Raw genomic sequence first — 24001 nt, 5'->3', positions numbered from 1 at the left:
TTTTGAGATAAGGTCTCACTCTGTCACCCAGGCTGGAGTGCAGTGGTGCGATCACAGCTCACTGCAACCTCAACCTCCTGGACTCAAGCAATCCTCCCACCTCAGCCTCCTGAGTAGCTGAGAGTACAGGTGTGCGCCACCATGCCCATCTAAGTTTTTTAATTTTTTGTAGAGACAGGGCTTCACTATGTTGTGCAGCCTGGTCTTGAACTCTTGTGCTAAAGCAATCCTCCCACCTTGGCCTCCCCAGAGTACTGGGGTTATAAGAGTGAACCCCCACGCACGACCTCTTCCATCTTTTTGTGCTCCTCAAGGAAGGGCCCTGTCTCAGCCAAGTGGCCTTGAAAAGATATCTGTGCTTCTAAATCTCAAATGGGAGTTCTGGGACCTGGAAAATGCCGGAAAGGGAACAAAACCCATTAGAGGCAAATTCTGGAATTAAAACCAATTATTTTGTAGTCTCACTGCATCTTGGCAGGCCCCTATCTGCCTCTAAAATCCAACTATTTTGCAAAAAAACCTCTTGCTGGCCTTGTTCTTCTAATTGCACCAGGCTAATGCCCCAGCCCTAGTGAGTCACCTTCTCTTCTCAGAGTAAAATCTTAGTTTCTTTCTACTCCAGTGCCACTCAAGACATGCATAGCAGGCACCTACCAAGAACTGCACTGTGAGTATTTGCAGGATAAAGGTCAGTAGACCTGTTCCTGAAAGAAAGCATTTCTACTTCACAAGTTGTCAAAGAACCCTTTCTGGGAACAGAACATCTCCCAGATCTGAAGAAGGCAGCATGAAGTCTGTCCCTCAGAAGGTATTTATGGAAGTGCCCCCATGGGTGTCCCATACAGAATATCCACTAGGCTGTGAACTCCACGAGGGCAGGTGGAGAGTTTGCTTTGGTCTATTCATTGCTATATTCTAGTGCCAAGAACACAGTCGGCAGGCGATACGTATTTTTGTATGACTGATTGGACTCAATTTAAGTATTTAGTGCTGCACTAGGCCCTGAGTTGGATACAGAGATAACAGTGAAGCAAATCCTTCTTTCAAGGCACTCAGGGGCAAGTTGAGAAAATAAGACCAACAAATATCTCTAGCATAATGAAGAAAGTAGTGAGCATCATTTAAAAAAGAGACCAATAAAGTATTGTCAGAGCTTAGGGGCAGCAGCCTCGCATTCTGCTGGGGAGCCAGCAGCCATCACAGGAAATAATTTGACTGGGTGTGGGAAGATCAATAAGAGTTTTCCAGAGAAAGAAAAGGGAAGAGGCCATTCCAGAGAGAAAACTGAGGTTTCAGTGGTTTGTCACTCCTTATGTTACAAGACTCCAAGACACCCCTCTCTCTGGCCTTCCACTTTTTGTGTTCCTCAAGGAAGGGCCTTGTGTCTGCCAAGTGGCCCTGAGAAGACATCCGTATGTTGCGGCTTCTAAAACTCAAAAGGGAGGTCTGTAAGTTCCAGACCCTAAGAACACCATGATACCAGCCTTGTATTGTGACGAAAGGCTCCAACAAGGTCAGGATGCCCCGGGATGGGCTTTGCAGACATTTGACTGCAAACTAAAAACTAGAAGCTCGTGCCCTACAAGGACCGTGACTTTTGGAAGATTACAGCCCCTGAGAGACAGTGACATTCAGTGACAGACAGGCAGGCAGGCTACAGAAGGAAATCGTATGCAGACTAGGGAGCCGGGTTTTTGGAATTCAGACAGGTGGGGCCTTGAGCCATTTGTCACACAAAGATTAAACCCATTCTCCTAAAGCCCAGCTCTAATCTTACCATTCTCTTCCTCAAAAGCCTTCAGTGGCTCCCACTGCACACAGAAAATACAAACACCTTGGCCTGCCAGGTAAGGCCCTGAGAAGTGCCCTGCCTACTTTCCTTACTTTCTCAGCTCAGTGGGCTCCTTCCCCAGCACACACACACACACACACACACACACACACATGCCACTCTGCACTGTAGCTCCACCACGCTCCCACCAAGCTACAAACCTGCCTCTGTGCAGCTGTGTTCACCAACTCAGACCAACCGGGTCAGCTCAGAAATCTCAGGCCCACCCTACTCCCCTGCCCAGACAGAAAAAGCTCAGTGTCCTGTAGAATTCAGATGATCCGGTTACATCCTGCAGAGAAACTCCATGCTTCAAAGCAACATTAATTTGTAGTAATCCCTTGGGTGAATAGAACAATGTCCCTGAAAATTAATGAACCATCCTATAATATGGGGAAAGAAATCAGTAAAGATTTGAATTGTATGTGAAAGTGCATGTGTTTAAATTCTGCTCCGTGTGATCTTGGGCAACCTGAATTACCTTATCTACACCTTCTTTCCTTGTCCATAAAGTGGGGGCCTGACTGGGTTGCTCTGAGATGTAAATGGGACAGTACATGGCGGGCTTGGAAAGCCCTGGCATGGGCTAGGTTTATTAAATATTATCTGTTATTGTCGTGTTTACTGTGAGATAAAGAAGCTGAAATGGCACCTTTAGAAAGGGTCCATCCCTGAGTGGAGGTGGGGAAGTGATGTGGGAGCAGAGGAGATGTGTGGAGTCAGGGTCTCTTGTCAGAGAATGGAAAAAACAAGTGTGAGCAGGAAAAGCCTCTGACCCCTAGGGAGGGAAAACAGGCAGCCGAGATGCTGAAGGGTATCACACAGGCCTTTTGTGACTCGGCCTGCTGGAGCCATGGTCCCTTGGTGGAAGAATGGGTTTGGCACTCAAGACGAGGTAAGCAAAGTTCGACAACAGCTAAACTTGGGCCAAGGGAAAGGGCTCTCTCAACCCTTATCCAAGGCTTCTGAGGTCGGCAGCCAACCACCCTTGTGGTCCTGAAGCCTGCGGGCAACGCCTGATGGCTGCCAACAGTGACCCCCTGTGGCCTCCAGGAGCCACTGCAGGAGTTCCTTAAGACCAGAGCACTTCACACCCATGTGAATGTTGTAATGACTCAGCTTTGGGGAACCATAAAGCCCCCAGGGATTCCTGAGCTAATTCAAGAGGAGAGAGGACCCTAAGCAGGACACTAATCGGCCACATGGGAGCTCAGGCTAGCATTATTCTGAGTTATAACACCAAAAATATGTGGCACCTAGAGTTCAAGGAGAGTTTCAAGTCAGTTATGTCCAAGGAGAAACTGCACGATGTCCCATCCCATCAAGGGATAGAGAAAGCCCTTCTTCTGTCTTCTCCTTCAGCTGTCCTCCCAGCCCAAAATTCTGCTGTGCCCACTCCACTCCCAGCCCAGACTCTACCCCCACTAGCCCCTTCCGGCTCTACCTGTCTCAAGCCTACAGCATTTTAGTATCACTGACCCCGACTCTGGTGCGCACTCCTTTTTAAGAAGAAAGGAAATGGAACCCATATCACTGGACCCTGACCTGGGCCTGAGCCCACGTTTCCCACTCCGCTCTGTCAAAAACCTGGCAAGAAGTGAGACAACCAGTGTGCAGATTGTTGGTTAAAGGCCACAACCAGAATGACACAGGTCAAGGAGCCACAGGTGAACACAAGTCCCTCTGACAACTCCAAAGTCCTGCTTACATTTCTAACCTAGTAACAGTAGCAATGATAAATGTCCAGTTTTTACAAATAATATCATTTCTCAAGTCAGGCTAGCTCATCTCTAAATCTCTGGGCAACTAGATGTTATCTAACTCCACACTCCTACAAGTTCACAGTTGAAAAACTATGAAATGAATTTCTGTGCCTGATGTATTCAGAGAGTCTCAGAAGCCAGAGCTCTGCTGAATAACTGACTGAATTCTCTGTTGAACTGAATAACTAATGGTATTCAAGTGATACTAAATGGGATAATTTCCCTTTTTTCTAACTTGGAAAATTTAATTTGGGTGTTTTATCAAAAACTGCTGCTCCCCCATAGATTAATGGCCCACTATATCTTTCATATTAAATTAATTGAGTGCAGAATGGTTTTGTTGAATGTGAATGACAGGCTCTGGAGTTTAACTCATCATTCTTTAAGAAAGGCTAAGATGAGGAACTAAAACCACAGGGCCTGAATGATCACATCTTTTCTGTTTTCAGAGGCTTTCCCATTTTCAGTTGCCACACCGTACATTAATGAGCAATCAAGCAGCTCCTGGGCCAGACGATTTCCATTCTCCATCCCTAATGAGAAACCAGCCCTGCTCTTAACTTTCCGTCCCATTGTGTAGCTAAAAAAGAAGAGCACTTCATGAACACAGACCTTTACAACTTAGAAAGCACTGTTACTTCCTCTCTCTCATTTCACCCTCCCAACAGGCCTCAGCTCAACATGATTAACCCCATTTTACAAATGAGGAAACTGAGCAACTGAGCAAGAGCTTGCTCAAGGCCACACTAGTAAGTGGGCAGAGCTAGCACAGGACTCCCAGTCCAGTGCTCCTTCCCACACACTGCAGTAGCTTCGGGTGACAACTTTGTAATGGTTCACGATTTTTTGTCAGTATAAACCTTTGCTCTGCCTCCTCTTTCCACCTGCCTCCTCTTTCATCCTGAATTTAAATGAATGCTTTTTAAACTCTTTCTCATCTTATCTTTCAAGCCTCATTTTTCATCACCAGAACCCCAGGCTGCCACCACACTGCAACACGTGCCATGACCTATGCACACAATGATCTTGCTTTGCTCAACACAGTTCCCTCTGCTATGACACCCTGTCCCACCTTCTTCGCCCACCCATTTTCCCTGAACCAAATGCCATTTCCTCTGCAGGGCCTTTCCAAATGCTCTCCCTTCTGAAAGGGATTCACTCTCTCCCCGTGTATTTTATTTTATTTTATTTTATTTTATTTATTTTTGAGATGGAGTCTCGCTCTGTTGCCCAGGCTGGAGTGCAATGGCACGATCTCAGCTCACTGCAACCTCCACCTCCCGGGTTCAAGAGATTCTCCTGCCTCAGCCTCCCAAGTAGCTAGGATTACAGGTGCACACCGCCATGCCTGGCTAATTTTTGTATTTTTAGTAGAGATGGAGTTTCACCATGTTGGCCAGGCTGGTCTCAAACTCCTGACCTCAGGTGATCCACCTGCCTCAGCCTCCCAAAGTCCTGGCATTACAGGCATGAGTCATTGTGCCTGGCCTCCCCATGTATTTTATACAAACCTATGTTGGCACACCTACCTATTGAACTGTAACTCGGGCATGTAAGCCTCTTTTTCCAGGCTGAGATTTTGAGGGGAGGAAATATGTCTAATACAATGGTTGGCATACAGTAGGAGCTCAATTGATGTACAATTGTCCCTCGGCATCCTCAGGGGATTGGTTCAAGGAAACCCCTCCTCCACTCCCCATCTCTCATGAATACCAAAATCTGCGAATGCTCAAGCCCCTTTTATAAAATGGTGTAGGGATTGCGTATAGCCTATGCACACCCTCCCATATACTTTAAATCAGCTCTAGATTACTTATCATACTTAATACAATATGAATGCTATGTAAATAGTTGCTATACTGTATTTTTATTTTTATTGTTATGTTATTTTTTATTGTTTTTTTCCAAATATTTTCTGTCAGAGGTTGAGTGAATCCGCAGATGCAGAACCCAAGAATACCGAAGGCCAAGCGTATACTGTTGCTCCTCAGTCTTAACTGGGTGCAGATGACAAGCATCTCCCCCAAGCGGCAGGAGGAAGCATTGCAGGGAAACGTTCTGCGAGTAAGATCAATGTTGAGCTACGCACCAGCACTGAACTTCAGTAAAGATAGAGCCTCCATCTGCCTTTATTCTGTTATTTCAAACAAACTTGTTATAGACTGTAATGTCTGCTTAGTGTTCCCGCAACCTCAGCCACCCCTCGGCAGTCCTTGGAATGCCCAGCAGTAACTCCACAGGACGGAACCCATGAGGAACTACCTGTGCATGGACCCCTGGAGGCCTGTGAGGCCAATGACCAAAGACATCCCTCCTACAGGCTGCTTTTGGAGATACCTAAGCTGCAGGCCAGAACACTAGGCCAAGAGTAAGGAAAAAGAAAAGCCTTCATTTGCGCCTGATGCCCCGACCTCCCTATTGAGTCTGAGCCTGAGATTCCTTATCAGTACACAGTAGAAATGCCAATGCTCTGCTATGAGGCTGTTCTCGGCTCATGAGCAATGACTGTCCTAAGGCTTTGTGAACTCTCAGGGTTTGGGGCATTCAGATGAATTTAGTGAGGGCACAGTTTTTAGCAGTATTTGGCAATTCTTAAAACAACTCCAACCCATGTGTGAATGGGCATGAAATAGTTCAACAGCAGCTGCCCAGACGTTATCAATGAGCAAGGGGAACACTCTCTCCTGAGCGTATGCCCCTGAGGCATCGCCTAGGAGCTTGCCCCAGATAAAAAATGAGCTTTGACCACAATGTTGCATTTGTATAATTTTAACTCTGAAAGGAAGAAGTAACTGGTAACAGTGAAACCCAGGTCCCAAGGCTGGAAGAGGTCAACAGAGAAAAGGAGGCATGGTCCTGAATATAAACAGACCCCACCCACATTTCCCTCCCCAGCCCAAGGACACACCAATACCCAAGTAACAAGGAATGGAGACTTAAAAGCAAAATCCCACTGTAATTTCAACTGCATACACATGCATTCCATAATGTGATTCCATTCTCATTCCAAATAGAGAGAACCAATCATTTTCCATCTCCCATAAACCAATGATAGGACTACTCCCTGAACACGCTATTAAGGAGGGATTGAAGAACTGGGTGGACTCGCCACTCTGGTACTCCAGGAGGAGAGGACAGAGGAGTCTGTCCCCTGCTTACACTGCTGGAGTGGGCCTGAGATTTGACTCTTATCTGAATAGCACAATCTCTTAGGCTTTCATTGATTCAAAGAGCCTCTGAGTGCAGCAGTCACTCAGGTAGGAAGGGAACTTTCCTTAATAGAAAAAATAATCTCAAGCTAAAGGCAGCCACTAGGCCAGGGCAATAGTGTTGAAAATATATTACACACAGCCCAAAGGGTTTCACAGAGGGGTCCCTGAAGCGGGGAAGATTCAGGGGACCAGGGACCATGGGCCCCCTCACTTTCCTCACCCGGGCCAGCTGCTCACACCTTCTTTACCTAGTGGGCTTCAGCATAAACATATGTGAAAACAGCAGCCATAAGGGAGCTTGGAGAGCAAAGACAGCCCAGTTTTCAAGCTCTTTTGTAAATACAACAGTAAGTCCCTAGGAGAGAGAAACAGAAGACCTGGTTGAGAGATGAGGCTTGCACTGCACTGTGCTGGCATTGCTACTCTGAGGCATCTGCATACAGGATAATCTCTGTTCTGGGCCTGGGCACACAGCCCTTGGTCTGCCAGGGCCCAAGAGACCTAAGAAAATCTGATTGAGACATCAATGCTGAGAAGCAGAAGGAACACTGGTGTCTTAAAAATTGCAACTGCCTCATGGTGCAAAAATTGTACAAAATAAAAATTAAATTTTAAATTTTTTTAATTTTTTTTTTAGACGCTGTTTGGTTTATTCCTTTTCCAGCATTTGATTACATGCTAGGTCACTGGGAATAAAAAAAGATTCAACACAAAATTAAATACTTTCCACCCATCCACCTTCCCAACTGCCCAGTTATGGCCCCAGATTTGTCCCAGAAGTTCTGGGTGTTTTAGGACTGGCACCAAATTAATTATATGTCAGCTTAAAAAGGTATCAGTGGAAAAGGTGAATTAAGGTCCTCTGAAAATCCTCTCTTCCATAAAACAATGAAAACACTGGAAAATCCTCAGAGCCAACTTTCTCAGATTGTTAGAAATTAACCAAAGGCCTACAGGAATTCAGTGAGCATTTATTCAAGAGAAAAAGGTTCATAACAAGTGAAGAGACTAAATTCGTAATCAAAAAAAATTCCCGTAAAGAAACCCGAGGACTAGATGTCTTCACTAGTGAGTTATACTAAATATTTCAAGAAAAATTAATTCCTCTTTACAAATTCATCATGAGAAATAGAAGAGGAATGAACACTTTCCAACTTGTGCTTTGAGGCTAGTATTACCCTGACATCACAACCAGACAAAAACATCAAAGAAAATAAAACTGCAGACCAATATCTCTTATGAATACAGATGCAAAATCCTCAACAAAATAGTAGCAAATGGAATTTAGCAACATATAAACAGGATTATATGCTATAAAGAAGTGGGATTTATCCCAGGAATGTGAGACTAGCTCAGTATATGAAACTCAGCCATGGAATGCACCACGTTAATAGAATAAAGAACAAAAAACATATGATCATCTCAACAGATGCAGAACAAGCATTTGATAAAATCCAACACCCTTTCATCATAAAAACACCCAACAATCTAAGAAAGCATGGAACTTCCTGAACCCAAGGTTATGTATGAAAACCCACAGCTAACATCATATTAAATGGTGGCTAACATCTGTAATCCCAGAACTTTGGGAGGTCGAGGTGGACAGACTTCTTGAGCTCAGGAGTTTTAAGACCAGACTGGGCAACATGGCAAAACCCCGTCGCTAAAAATATATATATATAAATTAGCCAGATGTGGTGGTGTGCATCTGTAGTCCCAACTACTCAGGAGACTGAGGTAGGAGGGTCACTTGAGCCTAGGCAGTTGACGCTGCAGTGAGCTGAGATAATGCCACTGCACTCCAGCCTGAGTGACAAAGTGAGACCTTGTCTCAAAAAAACAAAACAAAACAAAATAGTGAAAGACTAAAAATTTACCTCTAAGATGAGAAACAAGAGAGGGCTGCCTTTTGCCACTTCCATTCAACATAGTATTGGAAGTTCTAGCCAGAGCAATTAGGTAAGAAAACAAAATAGAAGGAATCCAAACTGGAAAGGAAGAAGTAAAACTATCTCTATCTGCAGATGAAATTATCTTGTATGTAGAAAATCATAAGGAATACACAAAAAGATACATTCCAGCTAATAAACAAGGCTAGTAAGGTTACAGGATACAAGATCAATATACAAAAGTCAATTGCATTTCTATGCACTAGCAATAAACAATCCAAAAATGAAACTAAGAAAACTATTCTATTTATAATAGCATCAGAAAGAATACGCCATTAGGAATAAACTTAGCAAAACAAGGGCAAGGCTTCTACACTGAAAACTATAAAATATTATTGAAAGAGATTTTTAAAGACTTAGATAAATGGAAAGACATTCTGTGATCATGAATTGGAAGACTAAATATTGTTAAGATAGCAATATTCTCCAAATTGATCTACAGATTTCATGTAATCACTATCAAAATTCCAGCTACCTTTATTGCAACAATTGACAAGCTGATTCTAAAATGGAAATGGAAATACAAAGGACTCAGAATAACCAAAATAATCCTGAAAAAGAAGAACAAACATGGAGGTCTCATACTGCCCAATTTCAAAATGTACAAGAAAGCTACAGTAATCGAGACTATGTCATACTGGCATAAGAAACAGACATATAAATCAATGGAACAGGATTGAAAGTACAGAAACAGGCCAGGCATGGTGGCTGACGCCTGTAATCCCAGCACTTAGGGAGGCCAAAGCAGGCAGATCGTTTAAGCTCAGGAGTTCAAGACCAGACTGGGCAACATGGCAAGACCCTGTCTCTAATAAAAATACGAAAAAAAAAAACTAGGCATGGTGGTGCATGCCTGTGGTCCAGCTACTCAGGATGCTGAAATGGGAGGATAGACATTTGAGCCCATAGGGCAGAGCTTGCAGTAAGCTGAGATCACACCACTGTACTCCAGCCTGGGTGACAGAGTGAGACTCCATCTCAAAAAAAAAAAAAAAAGAGACAGAGAGACAGAGTACAGAAACAGACATATTTTTGGTGAATTGATTTTCAACAAGAGTTCCAATACCATCCAATGGAGAAAGAATAGTCTTTTCAACAAATGGTGCTTGGACAACTTGGATGGCCATATGAAAAAGAATTAAGTAGGAACCCTACCTCACACAAAAATTAAATCAAAATGGATCAAAGACCTAAATGTAAGGGCTAAACCTATAAAGCTCTTAGAACAAAGATAGGTGTAAGCCAGTGTGACCTTCCTTGGATTAGGCAATGGTTTCTTAGGTAAGACACAAATCATAAACAACCAAAAAAATGGATACATTGAACTTCATCAAAATTAAAATTTTTTGTGCTTCAAAGGACTATCAAGAAAGTGAAAAGACAACTCCAAAGAATATGAGAAAATATTTGCAAACCATATCTCTGATAAGAAATTAATATCCAAAATATATAGTGAACTCTGGCAACTCAACAACAAAAATTCAAAAATGGGTAAATAATTGGAATAGACATTTCTCCAAAGATGATATATAAACAGCCATAAAGCACATTTTTAAAATGTTCAACATCATTAGTCATTAAGGAAATGCAAATCAAAACCACGATGAGATGTCACTTCACACACACTAGAAAGGCTTTTATAATAAAAAACACAAAAAATTACAAGGGTTGGCAAGGACGTCAAGGAATTAGATCCCTCATACATTGCTAATAAGGATATAAAATGGTGCAGTCACTTTGGAAGACAGTGTGGCAGTTAAGAGGTGAGACCTTTAAGAGATGATTGGATCATGAAGACTCTGCCTTCAAGAATGGATTAATCCTTTCATGGATTAATGTATTAATGGGTTAATGGGTCATCATGGGAGTTGGTTAGCTATCAAGAGAGCAGGCCTGTATAAAAGCCAGTTTGGACTGGGCATGGTGGCTCACACTGTAATCCCAGCACTTTGGAAGGCCAAGGCAGGTGGATCACCTGAGGTCAGGAGTTCCAGACCAGCCTGACCAACATGATGAAACCCTGTCTCTACTAAAATTACATAAATTAACTGGGTGTGGTGGCACACACCTGTAATCCCAGCTACTAGGGAGGCAGGAGAGTTGCTTGAGCCTGGGAGGGAGAGGTTGCAGTGAGCTGAGATCACGCCACTGCACTCCAGCCTGGGTGACAGAACAAGACTCCGACTCAAAAAAAAAAAAAAAAAAAGCCAGTTTGGCTCTTAGTGTACCTTCCATCTCCATGTGATGCCTTCCACTGCCTCGGGACTCTGAAGAGTCGCCACTAGCAAGAAGGCCCTTACCAGACTCAGCCCCTCAATCTCAGACTTCCCAGCCTCCAGAACTATAAGAAATAGATTTATTTTCTTTGTAAGTCACTCAGTCTCAGATATTCAGTTATAAAAATAGAAGACTAAGATACCATATGACCCAGAAACTGCACTCCTAGGCATATAGGTAATACTCAAGAGAATTGAAAATATATGTTCACACAAAAACGTGTACATAAATGTTCATAGCAACATTATTCAAAATAGCCAAAAAGTGAAAACAACCCAAATGTTCATCAACTGTTAAGTGGACAAACAACAATGTGGTATATGCGTACATTAGAATATTATTCAATCATAAAATGGAAGGAAGGAATGATATCTGCTACAACATGAATGGACCTTGAAAACATTGTGCTAAGCAAAGTCAGACACCAAAAGCCACATAATGTTTTGGTGTCTGACTTCACTTAGCACAATGTTTTCAAGGTCCATTCATGTTGTAGCATGTCCATCATAGGCAAATCTAGAGACAGAAATTGATGAGTAACTTCCAGGGATATGGTGGGGGAAGGAGTAACTGCTAATCGGTACAGAGTTTCTTTTTGAAGTGACAGAAATATTCTGGAATTAGTGGCGATGATTGCACAACTTTTTGAGTATACTAAAAACCACTAAATTGTACACTTTAAAAGGCTAAATTTTATGGTATGTAAGTTGTATCTCCATTTTCAAGTCTATTTAATGAATCTGGCATAAGATTAAGACATGCTGAGGACCAGAAGGCTGGCCAGTAGAAGACACCTCACATCTCTGCTCTCCCTGTATGGCCCCAGTTGCAATCATCAGTCAAGTGTACCATCACAACAGCCTCCTCCTTGCTCTCTTCCCAAAACCCTGCCAGATCGCGTCACTAGCCTTTGGAAGTTTCCCACTGTCCACGTGTATTAATCATGCCTTTTCATTTTCTGTATTTTCTGATTTTTTGACATCTGAGGCCTTTCTGATTCTGGAGAGATTGCCCCTCCCAGGAATAGCCAATTCGTAGGGACAGTAAAGGGCTTGCCCACAAGTGCACCTTCATATGCAAACCATTCAGTCAGAAGCCCATACAACTACCTCCCTTGTTGGGCTTTCACACTCTGAGCCACTGTCTCCCTGCCTTAATCACCCCACTGCCAGATGATGCAAAACTAGAGACAGCCCCTACACCCAAGAGCTCAGTTTAGTTATTTACACTGGCCAATCCGAAGCCTGCCTAGCCTGCCTCCCCTTACCTTTCCCCAGGAAATCACAATAAACACTCTTGCCCATGTTTTCCCCCACTCCCTCTGCCTCCTGACCCACCCTGGGGCTTCCCCATGTGGCCCTGCATGGCCTGCCGTGCCTCCTGTCTCTAGGGACCTGTGAGTAAAAACGTCTTCCTTTACAAGTGTCATTTCTGGGCCTGCATGTCTTACCATACCCAAATAAAACAAATCCCAGGTACATAGGGAAGCACCACCCTCCAAACTTAGTTCCACCTTCCCTTCCCCACCTAGCTTCTTGCGAACCTGACACTCCCCAAACTCTCACCACCCCACACTTCCCAGGCATTCCGTGTTCCTTTGTCACCAAGCCTTTGCCCATGCTGGAGCCTCTACCTACAGTGCCCTTCCCAGCCTTTTTGACTTGCTTATTCCTGTGTCACCAGCAAGCCTCACTTCATGACACCTCTTCTGCAGACCCACCAGGACAACTATGTTGTATGTGCTACATCCTCCCTTCAAGCCCTTAGTCTATATATCTGTCTGCTGCTCTTGTTGATGAGTTTCTACAGGATGAGCACCGTGATTCCTCATCCCTGGATCCCTAGGGCTTAGCACAGAGCCAGGAAATTATTGGCAACTTAGTAAAGGTAGAATATGAGACAAGGTCTCACTCTGTTACCCAGGCTGCAGTGCTGTGGCACAATCATGGCTCACTGCAGCCTCGACCTCCTGGGTTCAAGCAATCCTCCCACCTCAGCCTCCCGAGTAGCTGGGACTACAGGCACATGCCACCACCAATCCCAGCTAATACTTCTTATTTTTTTGTAGAGACAGGGTCTCACTATATTGCCCAGGCTAGGCTTTTATTTTTTTAATACAAGAAATATCCCCAGCTGGGAGTGGTGGCTCACGCCTGTAATCCCAGCACTTTGGGAGGCCGAGGCAGGTGGGTCACCTGAGGTCAGGAGTTTGAGACCAGCCTGGCCAACCTGGTGAAACCCCGTCTCTACTAAAAATACGAAAATTAGCTGGGCTTGGTGGCGGGTGCCTGTAATCCCAGCTACTTGGGAGGCTGAGGCAGGAGAATCACTTGAACCTGGGAGACAGAAGTTGCAGTGAGCTGAGATCGCACCATTGCACTCCAGCCTAGGCGACAGAGCAAGACTTCGTCTCAAAAAAGAACAAAAAAAAAAAGAAAAAGAAAAAGAAATATCCCCAACAGGCAGGTAAGCTCTTCAAGGATGAAGCCTAACTTACCCTCTAAATTCTTAGCAGGACTGAGCACATGGCCGGGTCCAAGTAAAGGCTGATGGGGTGAGTGAGCGAATGGAAATGACGAATGAGTACATCAGCATTGGGAGGAGGTGGGTGGGGAGGCGGGACTGGTCTCCCTGCCTGAGGCACAAGCTCTACTCACACTGTTCTTCCCACTCTCGCTCCTCTTTCTCACTGGCTTGGCAATGCAGCTGAGCCTGCTTCAGGGTCCAGTAGAGCTCCTTCGCCCTCTGCTCTTCCTGGAGGCGAATCTGCTCTTCTCCTCGCTTCCTCTCCTCTTCCTCTTTCCTCTAAAATGTCATGGGAACAGAACAACACGAGATGACCACAACACTTCAGAGAAACGAGAAAGAAATATCTCTGGGATTCTGCAGTGGATGGGGCTGAGAGTGCAGCAGTGGCCTCTCCAGCCTCAGTCCCTACATGTATGAAATTGAAATTACCCAGTACTCCCATAGACAGTTGTTTTTGGATAAACGCAAAAATTATCACTTCTGGTCTTAAAGCTTGAAACTTATATTTGTTTTATTTGAATTGCTTCCTCAGGAAAGGATCCCTCAGGCCTCTCAAAAAGTATCAAATTACTGAAACTCACCAGATCACCACAACCAGACTATGAGATGCCTGACCCCTCAATGAGATGATTGCTTCCTAACTCCTCCCTAGTTTCTGTTTTCTTACACATTGTTATATTTCTTACCTGCTACACAAACCTCTAGTTATAGTCAGTTAGGGAGATGAAGATGGATTTGAGGCTGAGCTCCCATCTCCTCAGCTGCAGCACCTGATTAAAGCCTTCTTCCTTGGCAATACTCATCATCTAGGTGATTGACTTTCTGTGCCGCAAGCAGTAGGACCTGGATGGAACCCTGGTGTTTTAGTAATAAAGTGGTGGTGATCGTGCCACCTAACTTAACTGACAAGGTGGTGGTGAGGAGAAAATGGGTTGAAACAGGTGGAATGCCACAGAATACTACACAGCCATAAAACAGAATGAAGTCACGTCCTCTGCAGTAACATAGATGCATCTGGAGGCCATTATAGTAAGTGAACCTACACAGAAACAGAAAACCAAACACTGCATGTTCTCACTTATAAGTGGAAGCTAAACACTGGGTACTCATGGACATAAAGACAGGAATGACAGACACTGGGGATTACTGCAAGTGGGAGACAGGGAGACGGGGAATGACTAAAAAAGTGCCTCTTGGGTAATATGCTCACTACCTAGATCATGGGTTCAATCGTAACCCTTACTTCAGCATCACACAATATACCCTTGTAACAAACCTGCACATGCACCTCTGGAATCTAAAATAAAAGTTTAGAAAGAAAAAAAAAAGCTGGGCGTCGTGGCTCACGCGTGTAATCCCAGCACTCTGGGAGGCCAAGGCAGGCGGATCACCTGAGGTCAGAAGTTTGAGACCAGTTTGACCAACATGGAGAAACCCCGTCTCTACTAAAAATACAAAATTAGCCCAGCATGGTGGCGCATGTGTGTAATCCCAGCTGCTAGGCAGGCTGAGGCAGGAGAATCGCTTGAACCGGAAGGAGGAGGTTGCAGTGAGCTGAGATCGCACCACTGCACTCCACCCTGGGCAACAAGAGCAAAACTCCATCTCAAAGAAAAAACAACAACAACAACAACAAAAACAAGAGTTACTCAAGAGGCACGAGAATGGCTTGAACCCAGGAGGCAGAGGTTGCAGTGAGCCGAGATCGCGCCACTGCACTCCAGCCTGGGCGTCTCCAAAAAAAAAAAAAAAAACAAAACAAAAAAAAAAAAAAACGTGGCCGGAATTGGTGGGTTCTTGGTCTCACTGACTTCAAGAATGAAGCCGCGGACCCTCGAGGTGAGTGTTACAGTTCTTAAATGTGGCATATCCGGAGTTTGTTCCTTCTGATGTTCGGATGTGTTCGGAGTTTCTTCCTTCTGGTGGGTTCGTGGTCTCGCTGGCTCAGGAGTGAAGCTGCGGACCTCCGCGGTGAGTGTTACAGCTCTTAAGGCAGTGCGTCTGGAGTTGCTCGTTCCTCCCGGTGGGTTCGTGGTCTCCCTGGCTTCAGGAGTGCAGCTGCAGACCTTCACTATGAGTGTTACAGCTCATAAAGGCAGCGTGGAACCAAAGAGTGAGCAGCAGCAAGATTTATTGTAAAGAGTGAAAAAACAAAGCTTCCACAGCGGCAAGGGGATCCCAGCCCGTTGCCACTGCTGGCTCGGGGCAGCCTGCTTTTATTCTCTTATCTGGCCCCACCCACATCCTGCTGATTGGTCCATTTTACAGAGAGCCCAGTGGTCTGTTTTGACAGGGCACTGATTGGTGCGTTTACAATCCCTGAGCTAGACACAAAGGTTCTCCACGTCCCCACCAGATTAGCTAGATACAGAGTGTGGACACAAAGGTTCTCCAAGCCCCCACCAGAGTAGCTAGATACAGTGTCGATTGGTGCATTCACAAACCCTGAGGTAGACACAGGGTGCTGACAGGTGTGTTTACAAACCTTGAGCTAGATACAGAGTGCCGATTGGTGTATTTACAATCCCCTAGCTAGACATAAAGGTTCTCCAAGTCCCCACCAGAGTCAGAAGCCCAGCTGGCTTCACCCAGTGGATCGCGCACCAGGGCCGCAGGTGGAGATGCCTGCCAGTCCCACGCCGTGCGCCCACACTCCTCAGCTCTTGGGTGGTTGATGGGACTGGACGGCATGGAGCAGGGGGCGGCGCTCGTCGTGGAGGCTCGGCGGCACAGGAGCCCATGGAGGAGGGGGAGGCTCAGGCATGGCAAGCTGCAGGTCCCGAGCCCTGCCCCACGGGGAGGCAGCTAAGGCCCCCTGAGAAATCAAGTGCAGTGCCGCTGGGCCGGCACTGCTGGGGGACCCAGCACACTCTCCGCAGCTGCTGGCCTGGGTGCTAAGCCCCTCATTGCCCGGGCTGGCGGGGCCGGCTCGACGCTCCGAGTGTGGGGCCACCTAGCCCACGCCCACCCAGAAATCCAGCTGGCCCGCAAGCGCCACGTGCAGCCCCGGTTCCTGCTTGTGCCTCTCCCTCCACACCTCCCTGCAAGCTGAAGGAGCCGGCTCTGGCCTTGGCCAGCCCAGAAAGGGGCTCTTACAGTGCAGCGGTGGGCTGAAAGGCTCCTCAAGTGCCGCCAAAGTGGGAGCCCAGGCAGAGGAGGTGCCCAGAGTGAGCGAGGGCTGTGAGGGCTGCTAGCACGCTGTCACCTCTCAGAAAGAAAGAAAAAAGAAATACGTGGAACAAAGTGTAAACTCCACATCTTACTGCAGAGGTAAGAGGACTCTGCCATCCTGGCTGGGCGCGGTGGTTCACGCCTGTAATCCCAGCACTTTGGGAGGCCAAGGCAGGCAGATCACCTGAGGTCAGGAGTTTGAGACCAGCTGGCCAACATGGTGAAACCCCGTCTCTACTAAGAAATACAAAAATTAGTCGGGCATGGTGGCATGCACCTGTAATCCGAGCTACTTGGGAGGCTGAGGCAGGAGAATCACTTGAACCCGGGAGGTGGAGGTTGCAGTGAGCTGAGATCACGCCATTGCACTCTAGACTGGGCGACTCTCCATCTCAAAAAAAAAAAAAAGAAAAAGAGGAGTCTGTGCCATCCTTAGGTGTACTTTCATTTTGGAGGAAGAGGGAGGGAAGACACAGGGACAGGTGTCTGGTCTCTTCCTGAAAGCCAGTGAAGCAGGGTATGATTATGTCTTAACCTTAAGTCTGGATAAAGTCTCAGAGAGAGAGATTTGGGGTCCCTAAATTTCCCATTTCTGTCCCACTCCTGAGCTCTAAAAAAGTTATACCTGTGTGTATTTTCTTCTACCTTTGTTTACATCAAAGTAACATGTATGTGTTAAACATACATTATGAAACACAGGCTTCTAATGAAAATCAGCAGTCTCTAAATAGCTTCACCAGAACCCAATCCAACCAGCCTTAATTAAACCAATGCCTGGAGGCCACCATTTTCAACTATGTTAGCTGTTCCTTTGCTTGGCTACGTCCATGTGTCTGATTAATGCTGCTAATCCTTGATTTATCAAGTTATCAATCTAGATGTTAAATCTTGCCTTTCTTTTTTGGCACATGCATATTTAGCACTTATATTTCCCACAGGTGAACATCCATACACCATACTTTTTCTCTCCTCAGCCTCATAATAAATTTGCCTCATAATCTGTAGTTAAGTCAATAATCAGCATCAAAATAGTTTACTGCAAAGCCAAATAGGGTGCTATTTTCATCAGTTCCAAAAAGTACATTTTTTTAACCTTGTAACATCTCTGAAATTTGGATGTTTTAAAACTTACAGCTTGCTTTTTAATAAGCAACACTTTTATCCTCTTAAATAATGATATGTTTTGCTATTAAAGGTAACTTAAATTCAGTAAAATATGACAGGTATGGAAGCCTTTTCTTTCCAGTCATTTTTTCTGGTTTTTCCTGGGTTAATACATCTTGAAGCTGAATATTGAATTTTCCCAAAGTTTTCTCAGATGTAGTAAATCATTCTCTGTGTTTAACCAAGTGCTTTTTCTTATAACAGACAATACAAAAGTTATCTTTTTCCAAAGGACACACTACCCCGGGTGCCATCTTTTCTTCTCCCATCTGCACTGGTTACCACCTAAGCCTCCTCTCCATCCACCTACAAATGGCACACCTCTCAACCTTCCTTGAGTTGGAGCCCCTGTTTCTTTCTTGACCACTCTGCCATTTTGCAGCAGCATTTAACACTTCTCAGCTAAGAATGCATAGAGACACTTTCTGAGTCTTGTCTGGAAATGTCTATATGCCACATTTACATGTAACTGCCAATTTAGCTGAGCACAGAATTTGATTAAAAATCATTTTCCTGCAGAATGTTAAAGACTTCCTTGTCTTCTATCATCCAGAACTACCAATCTGATTCTCATTCTTCTGCACAAGGCATTTATTTTTCTCTCTGGAAGCCCCTGAAGTCTCTTTAACACCAATGTTCTGAACTTTTTAATATGATGTGCCTTGGTGTGGATTTTCTTGCGTTGATTGTGTTGGCCACTTGGGGGTACTTTCAGTCTGTAGTCTCTTATCTTTCCAGTCTAATACATCTTTGCTTAGCATTTCTTTGATAATTTCTTCTCTTCTAATTTCTTGTTTTTCCTTATAGAGCTCCTATTTGTCAAATAATGGTCTTCTTGAGTTTATCTTCTAACTGCCTTATCATTTTCCTCTCTTGCTCTCCATCTGTCTTTTTTATTTTTTTGAGACAGAGTCTCACTGTCACCCAGGCTGGAGTACAGTGGCACGATTTTGGCTCACTGTAACCTCTACCTCCCAGGTTCAAGCAATTTTCATGCCTTAGCCTCCCGAGTAGCTGGAATTACAGGCGCGCATGCCACCACCCCTGGCTAATTTTTGTATTTTTAGTGGAGACGGGTTTCATCATGTTGGTCAGGCTGGTCTTGAACTCCCAACCTCAGGTGATCCGCCCGCCTCAGCCTCCTAAAGTGCTGGGATTACAGGTGTGAGCCACCGCGCCCGGCTCCATCTGTTGTCTTTTTTCTTCTACTTCCTGGTTGATTTCATCGACTTTATCTTCCAAACCTTCTACTGAGTTTTTTATTTCAGCTATCACGTGTAATTTCCAAGCTCTCATTCTTATTCTTTGGTTGTTCTTTTCTCTTCATTGCATCTTGCACTTGTTTTATGAATGCAATAACTCATTTCTCTGAGGATTTTAGGGCATTTTCTTCCCATGTGCTCTGATTTAGGTCTGTTTCCTCTGTGTGCGAGTATGGTTTAAGTTCGTTTGATTTGGTGCCTGTCATACATGTGAAAGGTTTTTCTCGGCAGTCTGATGTTCCCTGACTATTCATATTCAAGAGAGAAGTAAATATCTGAGTAGGAAACTCAGAGAGCATGCTCCAGGCTTCATTGAGAGGAGGACTTTGCTCTAGGGCAATCGTAGGAGGAACCAGCCATGTTGCAGGACCCTCAGATGTAAGTATCTAGAGGCCCCTCCTCTGAGATTATTCAGTGCCTTCTCTGTCCTTCCTGGGTGGTATCACCCCCAGCATTCCAGGAATTGGAGGGGAGCAGGCTGCAAGCAGGACTGCCTGCAGCAAGCAGGGCCCCTGGCCTGAGCCCCATGCTTCACAGAAACCCATGCTTTAAAGCACCTTCTTGTAAATTTCCTCAAGTCTCCCCTCAGGAGTGGCCAGAAATAGTTAGTCCCCCCAGGAATGGTAAGGGCAGGTGGTGTTGTCCAGGTAAGGTGCCCCAGGCCCAGAATAGGTTCTACATGAGCCCGACTCCCTGTTTCTTTCCTTCAGGGTGCTCTCTGACCATATCCCTCATCAAGAGATTGAGCAGATATCCCAAGGAACTCCAGGATTCCTATTTATGAAGTCACCCTGGGCCCCAGTGCGGGGGTCCTGGTTCCAGAAGGGTAGCCTAGCAACCAGATGAAGCCCTTGCCAGCACAGTATTTTTAGCAGAGGATCACATGAGATTGGGTCACCAGAATAGTGCTAAAAGGCTGATTTTATGTGACTCGGATTTTTAATATAAACAAAGACTGCACAAAGAAATATTTGCCAACTCTGTACACCCTAGGGGCAACCCTGGCTGCAGGTCCCACCATTCAGAATTCAGACCTTTCCTTAATCTCCCCGTTTCCCTCCTGCTCCCTTCACTCTGCCTGATACCCCAACACCCCAGCGTTTCCCTTTCAACTTTCCCTCTTCTTCTGGCCAGAGGGAGGGAGGTGGTAGCCTGGAAAAAACAGATGAAAAAGTATTTGGTGAACAATTAGAAGAAGTCACTTACCTTCTTTAGCCCTTAATTCCCAACTCTTAGAGAGTGGGTCATAAGGAAATCGGAATTTTGTCTACTTTTAGCATTAAAAAATTAATCATTGAATTGGAGAAAAGTCCCCAGTCTATGTCAGGTCAGAAGGAACAAAAATCTTGTCATTTTTAAAACAAAGGAGTAAAAATGCACAGTTATCTCCTTTTATCTGCTTGTTGATCTATTGAAGTATACCAAAGGACCCACCCCTGACCCACTGGGGTCTTCCAGGCAGGAGCAGGTGTCAGGAAGAATACAGTCAAGGCCTGTCAGAGCCAGAGGGACATCAACTGCATGCTGCCACTTCCTTGTGCAGATAAGGAGTGTATCAATTTGCTCAGGCCGCCATAACGAAGTACCACAGATTGAGGAGGCTTAAATGACAGAACTCTATTTCCTCAATCATGGAGGCTGCAATCCAAAGTCAAGGTGTGGCAGGGTTGGCTTCGTGCTGAGGCCCTTCTCCTTGGCTGGCTGCCTTCTTGCTGTGTCACTCACAGCCTTCCCTCTGAGTGTGTGCCCGTCTGTGTCCAAATCTCCCTTTTTATAAGGACAGCAGTCATATTGGAGTAGGGTCTAACCCACTCGATCTCATTTTAACTGAATTACCTGTGTAAAGAGCTTATCTCCAAATATAGTTACATTCTGAGGTCCCGGGGATTAGGACTTCAAAATACGGATTTTAGCAGGGACATAATTCAGCCCATAACAAGGAGATTGGAGCCCAGGAAATGACTGGCACACAGTGGATAAGTGTCTGACTGGCCTATGGTGGATAAGTGGCCCTTAACCACCTCAGATTACAATGCAATGTTCCTACTTCAACTGGCTGTGACTAAAAGGAAGCAGCAAGTTAAATTGTAGGGCCATGTTCAATCAGTTCTTCTTCACCTGGAGAGTAGGACACCACCCAGGGAACCAGAGGCCTACAGCAACCGCCCATCTCAGAGGAAAATGACTGGCCATTTACTGTGATAAAGGAAAGCTCTTCACAAGGATGGGGACGACAAAGGAAAACATTTTGCAACTACTGTTGCATTACACATGGTCTTGCTAAAATAACGCTCAAAGCTGAAATTGCCTAAAAATTCTCATTGCTGTTGCAACTACCAGAATTCTCTGAGCCATCTAATACCACTGAAAGAAAAGCCCATTTTTCTGAGGTTTAGCAGCCAAAAGGCCAGACACGCAAAGACTCCCCTGCTGCCTAGGAATTAATCGCCTTGCTCTGGCTGCCCAAAGCCCTCTGAGCTGTCCAGCTTATTCAATCTCCCTTCTCCTCATAACCCATCAGTAACAGCACACCACAGGAACCCACAGAGGCCAGGGTCTGCCAGAATCCTGTGGAAAATGTCATCAAGACAAATGCCTTTTCTAGAAAGTGAAAAATTTTTTAAAATCCTAGGCCCCCTAAGCAATGGAACAGACCTTTTCTTGGCCAAGGGGACTCATGAGAAACTTTAAAAACTGAGTTCCCAGCCATGATGGGAGAGGAGATCAGACTTGCCTCAGTAACCACCATTAGGCTTTCTTCCCTAAGGACTAAATAGAAACCAGCCCTTTTGAAAGACTGATATCAACCAACAGCCTGATGCTGCCCCTCCCTTTTCATGGTTTTGACACAACAACTGACCAGCCTTCCTTCCTGATAAGAGACCACCGACCACAGAGTAGTTCTGGCCAGTCTACAGAGGATGTACCCTAAGGGCCTTCACGCCCTCTGCTTTGCCTTTTGATGTATAGGGTCTAATTGTAATATGTAGACTCAGCTAACCTGGTCAGCATAAACTCCTGTCTCATTCTTCCCTGCCTCAAAGTGCCTGCTACCAGCTTCTGACCAGAAGCTGGGCTTCCCAGCCTGTCAAAATAGCCACCTGCAGGCTGCAACCCTTTAGGAGATATAAAGCTCCCCTTTCCAAATTTATGAACCTCATCATTTTTCAGGTGACAAAGGCATCCTCATTTTTGTTGTTAGTCTGGCCCCAATAACACCACAGTGAGCTGAAGCACTCCAAAAAAGCAGAACCAAACCTATGCTGTTCATTCCTCCATTGCCAGTTCACAGCACAGGACATAGCAGATATCAGGTGCTCCATAAATGCTGACCAGAGAAGTGAATGAGTTATCAAACAGGTAAAGAGAAGACAGGGTTTGTGATGATCCCCGGGAGGGACAGGGTACACCACATCATGTTGTTTTGTCGGCGTCAGCCTTGCCTAGAGAAGTTCTGGTAAAGTCTAAAATTTTCAAGAGAAAATTGAGAAGTAGAAAATTTTCCCACCACTTCTAATCTTATTGGAAATAAAGCAGTAATCGTTTCTAAAGTTGTATAGGAGTTCATTAGGTGGCCAAAAGGAACTCCAAACTTAAAGGAGAAAAAAAAAGGGAGTGGCCTTGAATAGAAAATGGAAAAAAAATTAATAAACAACTGAACAGAATCAACCATGTCTGTTCGTTAAGAGTAAAACCAGGAAGAGGTGGGAGTGGGAGGAGGGAGGGAGATTGCAAGCAGAGAAGGAAGGTCACAGGACCCCGGGGTGGAAGAAGAGCACAGGATGTTTATTGAGCCGTGTTCTGTGGTCTTGAACAGAAGGAGAAATGTCCAGAAGCAATTTTAGGAGTTAAGAAAGCACGGGGGAAATAAATGCAAATTTTATCTGGCCTCAGGATCTCCTTTTTTCTAAAGGAACACTTTTATATGCATGTAAATTACATTCAAATGGCACCAGCCACAGCAGAATGGTTTTTAAAAACCGGTTTCCAGCTGTCTCATCTTCAGAGTTCCCTCTGTAACCCAATATAAAGATTCTGGGATTTTTTTTTCCATTTTCAGAATGCAGTTGTCATTATTACCTTTTCCATGACCTGGAGAATTAGCAGAACCTGCCTACATCCTCAACATGAGCTGCAGAAAGTGAGCCCAGCCCATCTCTCTCCATCACCAGGCTTTTCACCCAAGCTCTCACCTCTCCTCCAGCCTCCACCTATCTCCCTTCTCTGTGGGGTAAAAATCCCTCAATGCAGTCAATCTAAGCACTTTCTCTTTCCTGCAAATCTGCACACCCTCCCCAGCTCCCCATGGTGGGATGGTGCTGCCATCTCCTCATCTCCCAGCTTGGGACTTGGATGTCTTTGCTCTTTGCTTTCCCTCATCCCAACATCTAATTGATGCCAAGCCCTATTGATTTCACCACCACCATTTTGCTATATCCATCCCTTCTCTCCTTCCTCGTTGTCATAGACTCTGTCCAGACCCTTGCTCATTGGCCTTGACCATTGCAAAAATCTCCTAACTAGTCTCCTTGCCTGAAAACTCATCACTTGAATCACATCATTGCCATCAGTGGTGCTCCTAAAACTTCATCTGACCACATCCTTCTTTGTATCAAGATCCTGCTTTGCCCACAGAGGAAAGTCCACCCCCTTAATGTAGCATTTAAGAGCTTCACACCCTACCTCCTTTCCAGGCGTATGTCTGGCTCCATCCATCATGAACTTTTTCTCTCTCCTTCCAGCAGACCATTCATCATTCTACAGTTCTCCTTTCCATCTCTTGTGCTTGCTCATGCCCAGACCTCTAAAGTTACTCCTCTGCCCTCCATTATACTCCCCGGGG

The 24001-nt window shown here is 45.1% G+C and overlaps 1 protein-coding gene across 3 annotated transcripts in view, besides 1 other annotated feature; it reads right to left on the bottom strand.

The window, feature by feature from the left end:
* SH2D4B (SH2 domain containing 4B) overlaps positions 1 to 24001 on the bottom strand; it is a 108659-nt gene that overhangs the window by 44094 nt on the left and 40564 nt on the right. For all 3 annotated transcript variants that reach the window (NM_001388272.1, NM_207372.2, NM_001145719.1), the window contains exon 4: positions 13690 to 13837. In NM_001388272.1, coding sequence (NP_001375201.1) covers positions 13690 to 13837 — 148 coding nt within the window. The remainder of the gene's footprint in view (positions 1 to 13689; positions 13838 to 24001) is intronic.
* Positions 15587 to 15787: a silencer, noted in NCBI's record as "peak1027 fragment used in MPRA reporter construct". NCBI's record gives its function as "represses an SCP1 promoter by STARR-seq MPRAs in K562 erythroleukemia cells {active_cell/tissue: K562}" and the evidence as "EXISTENCE:reporter gene assay evidence [ECO:0000049][PMID:32103011]".

Source organism: Homo sapiens, chromosome 10, assembly GCF_000001405.40.
Source record: "Homo sapiens chromosome 10, GRCh38.p14 Primary Assembly".
Lineage (NCBI taxonomy): Eukaryota > Metazoa > Chordata > Mammalia > Primates > Hominidae > Homo > Homo sapiens.
This window is presented reverse-complemented; position numbering and strand designations above follow the sequence as displayed.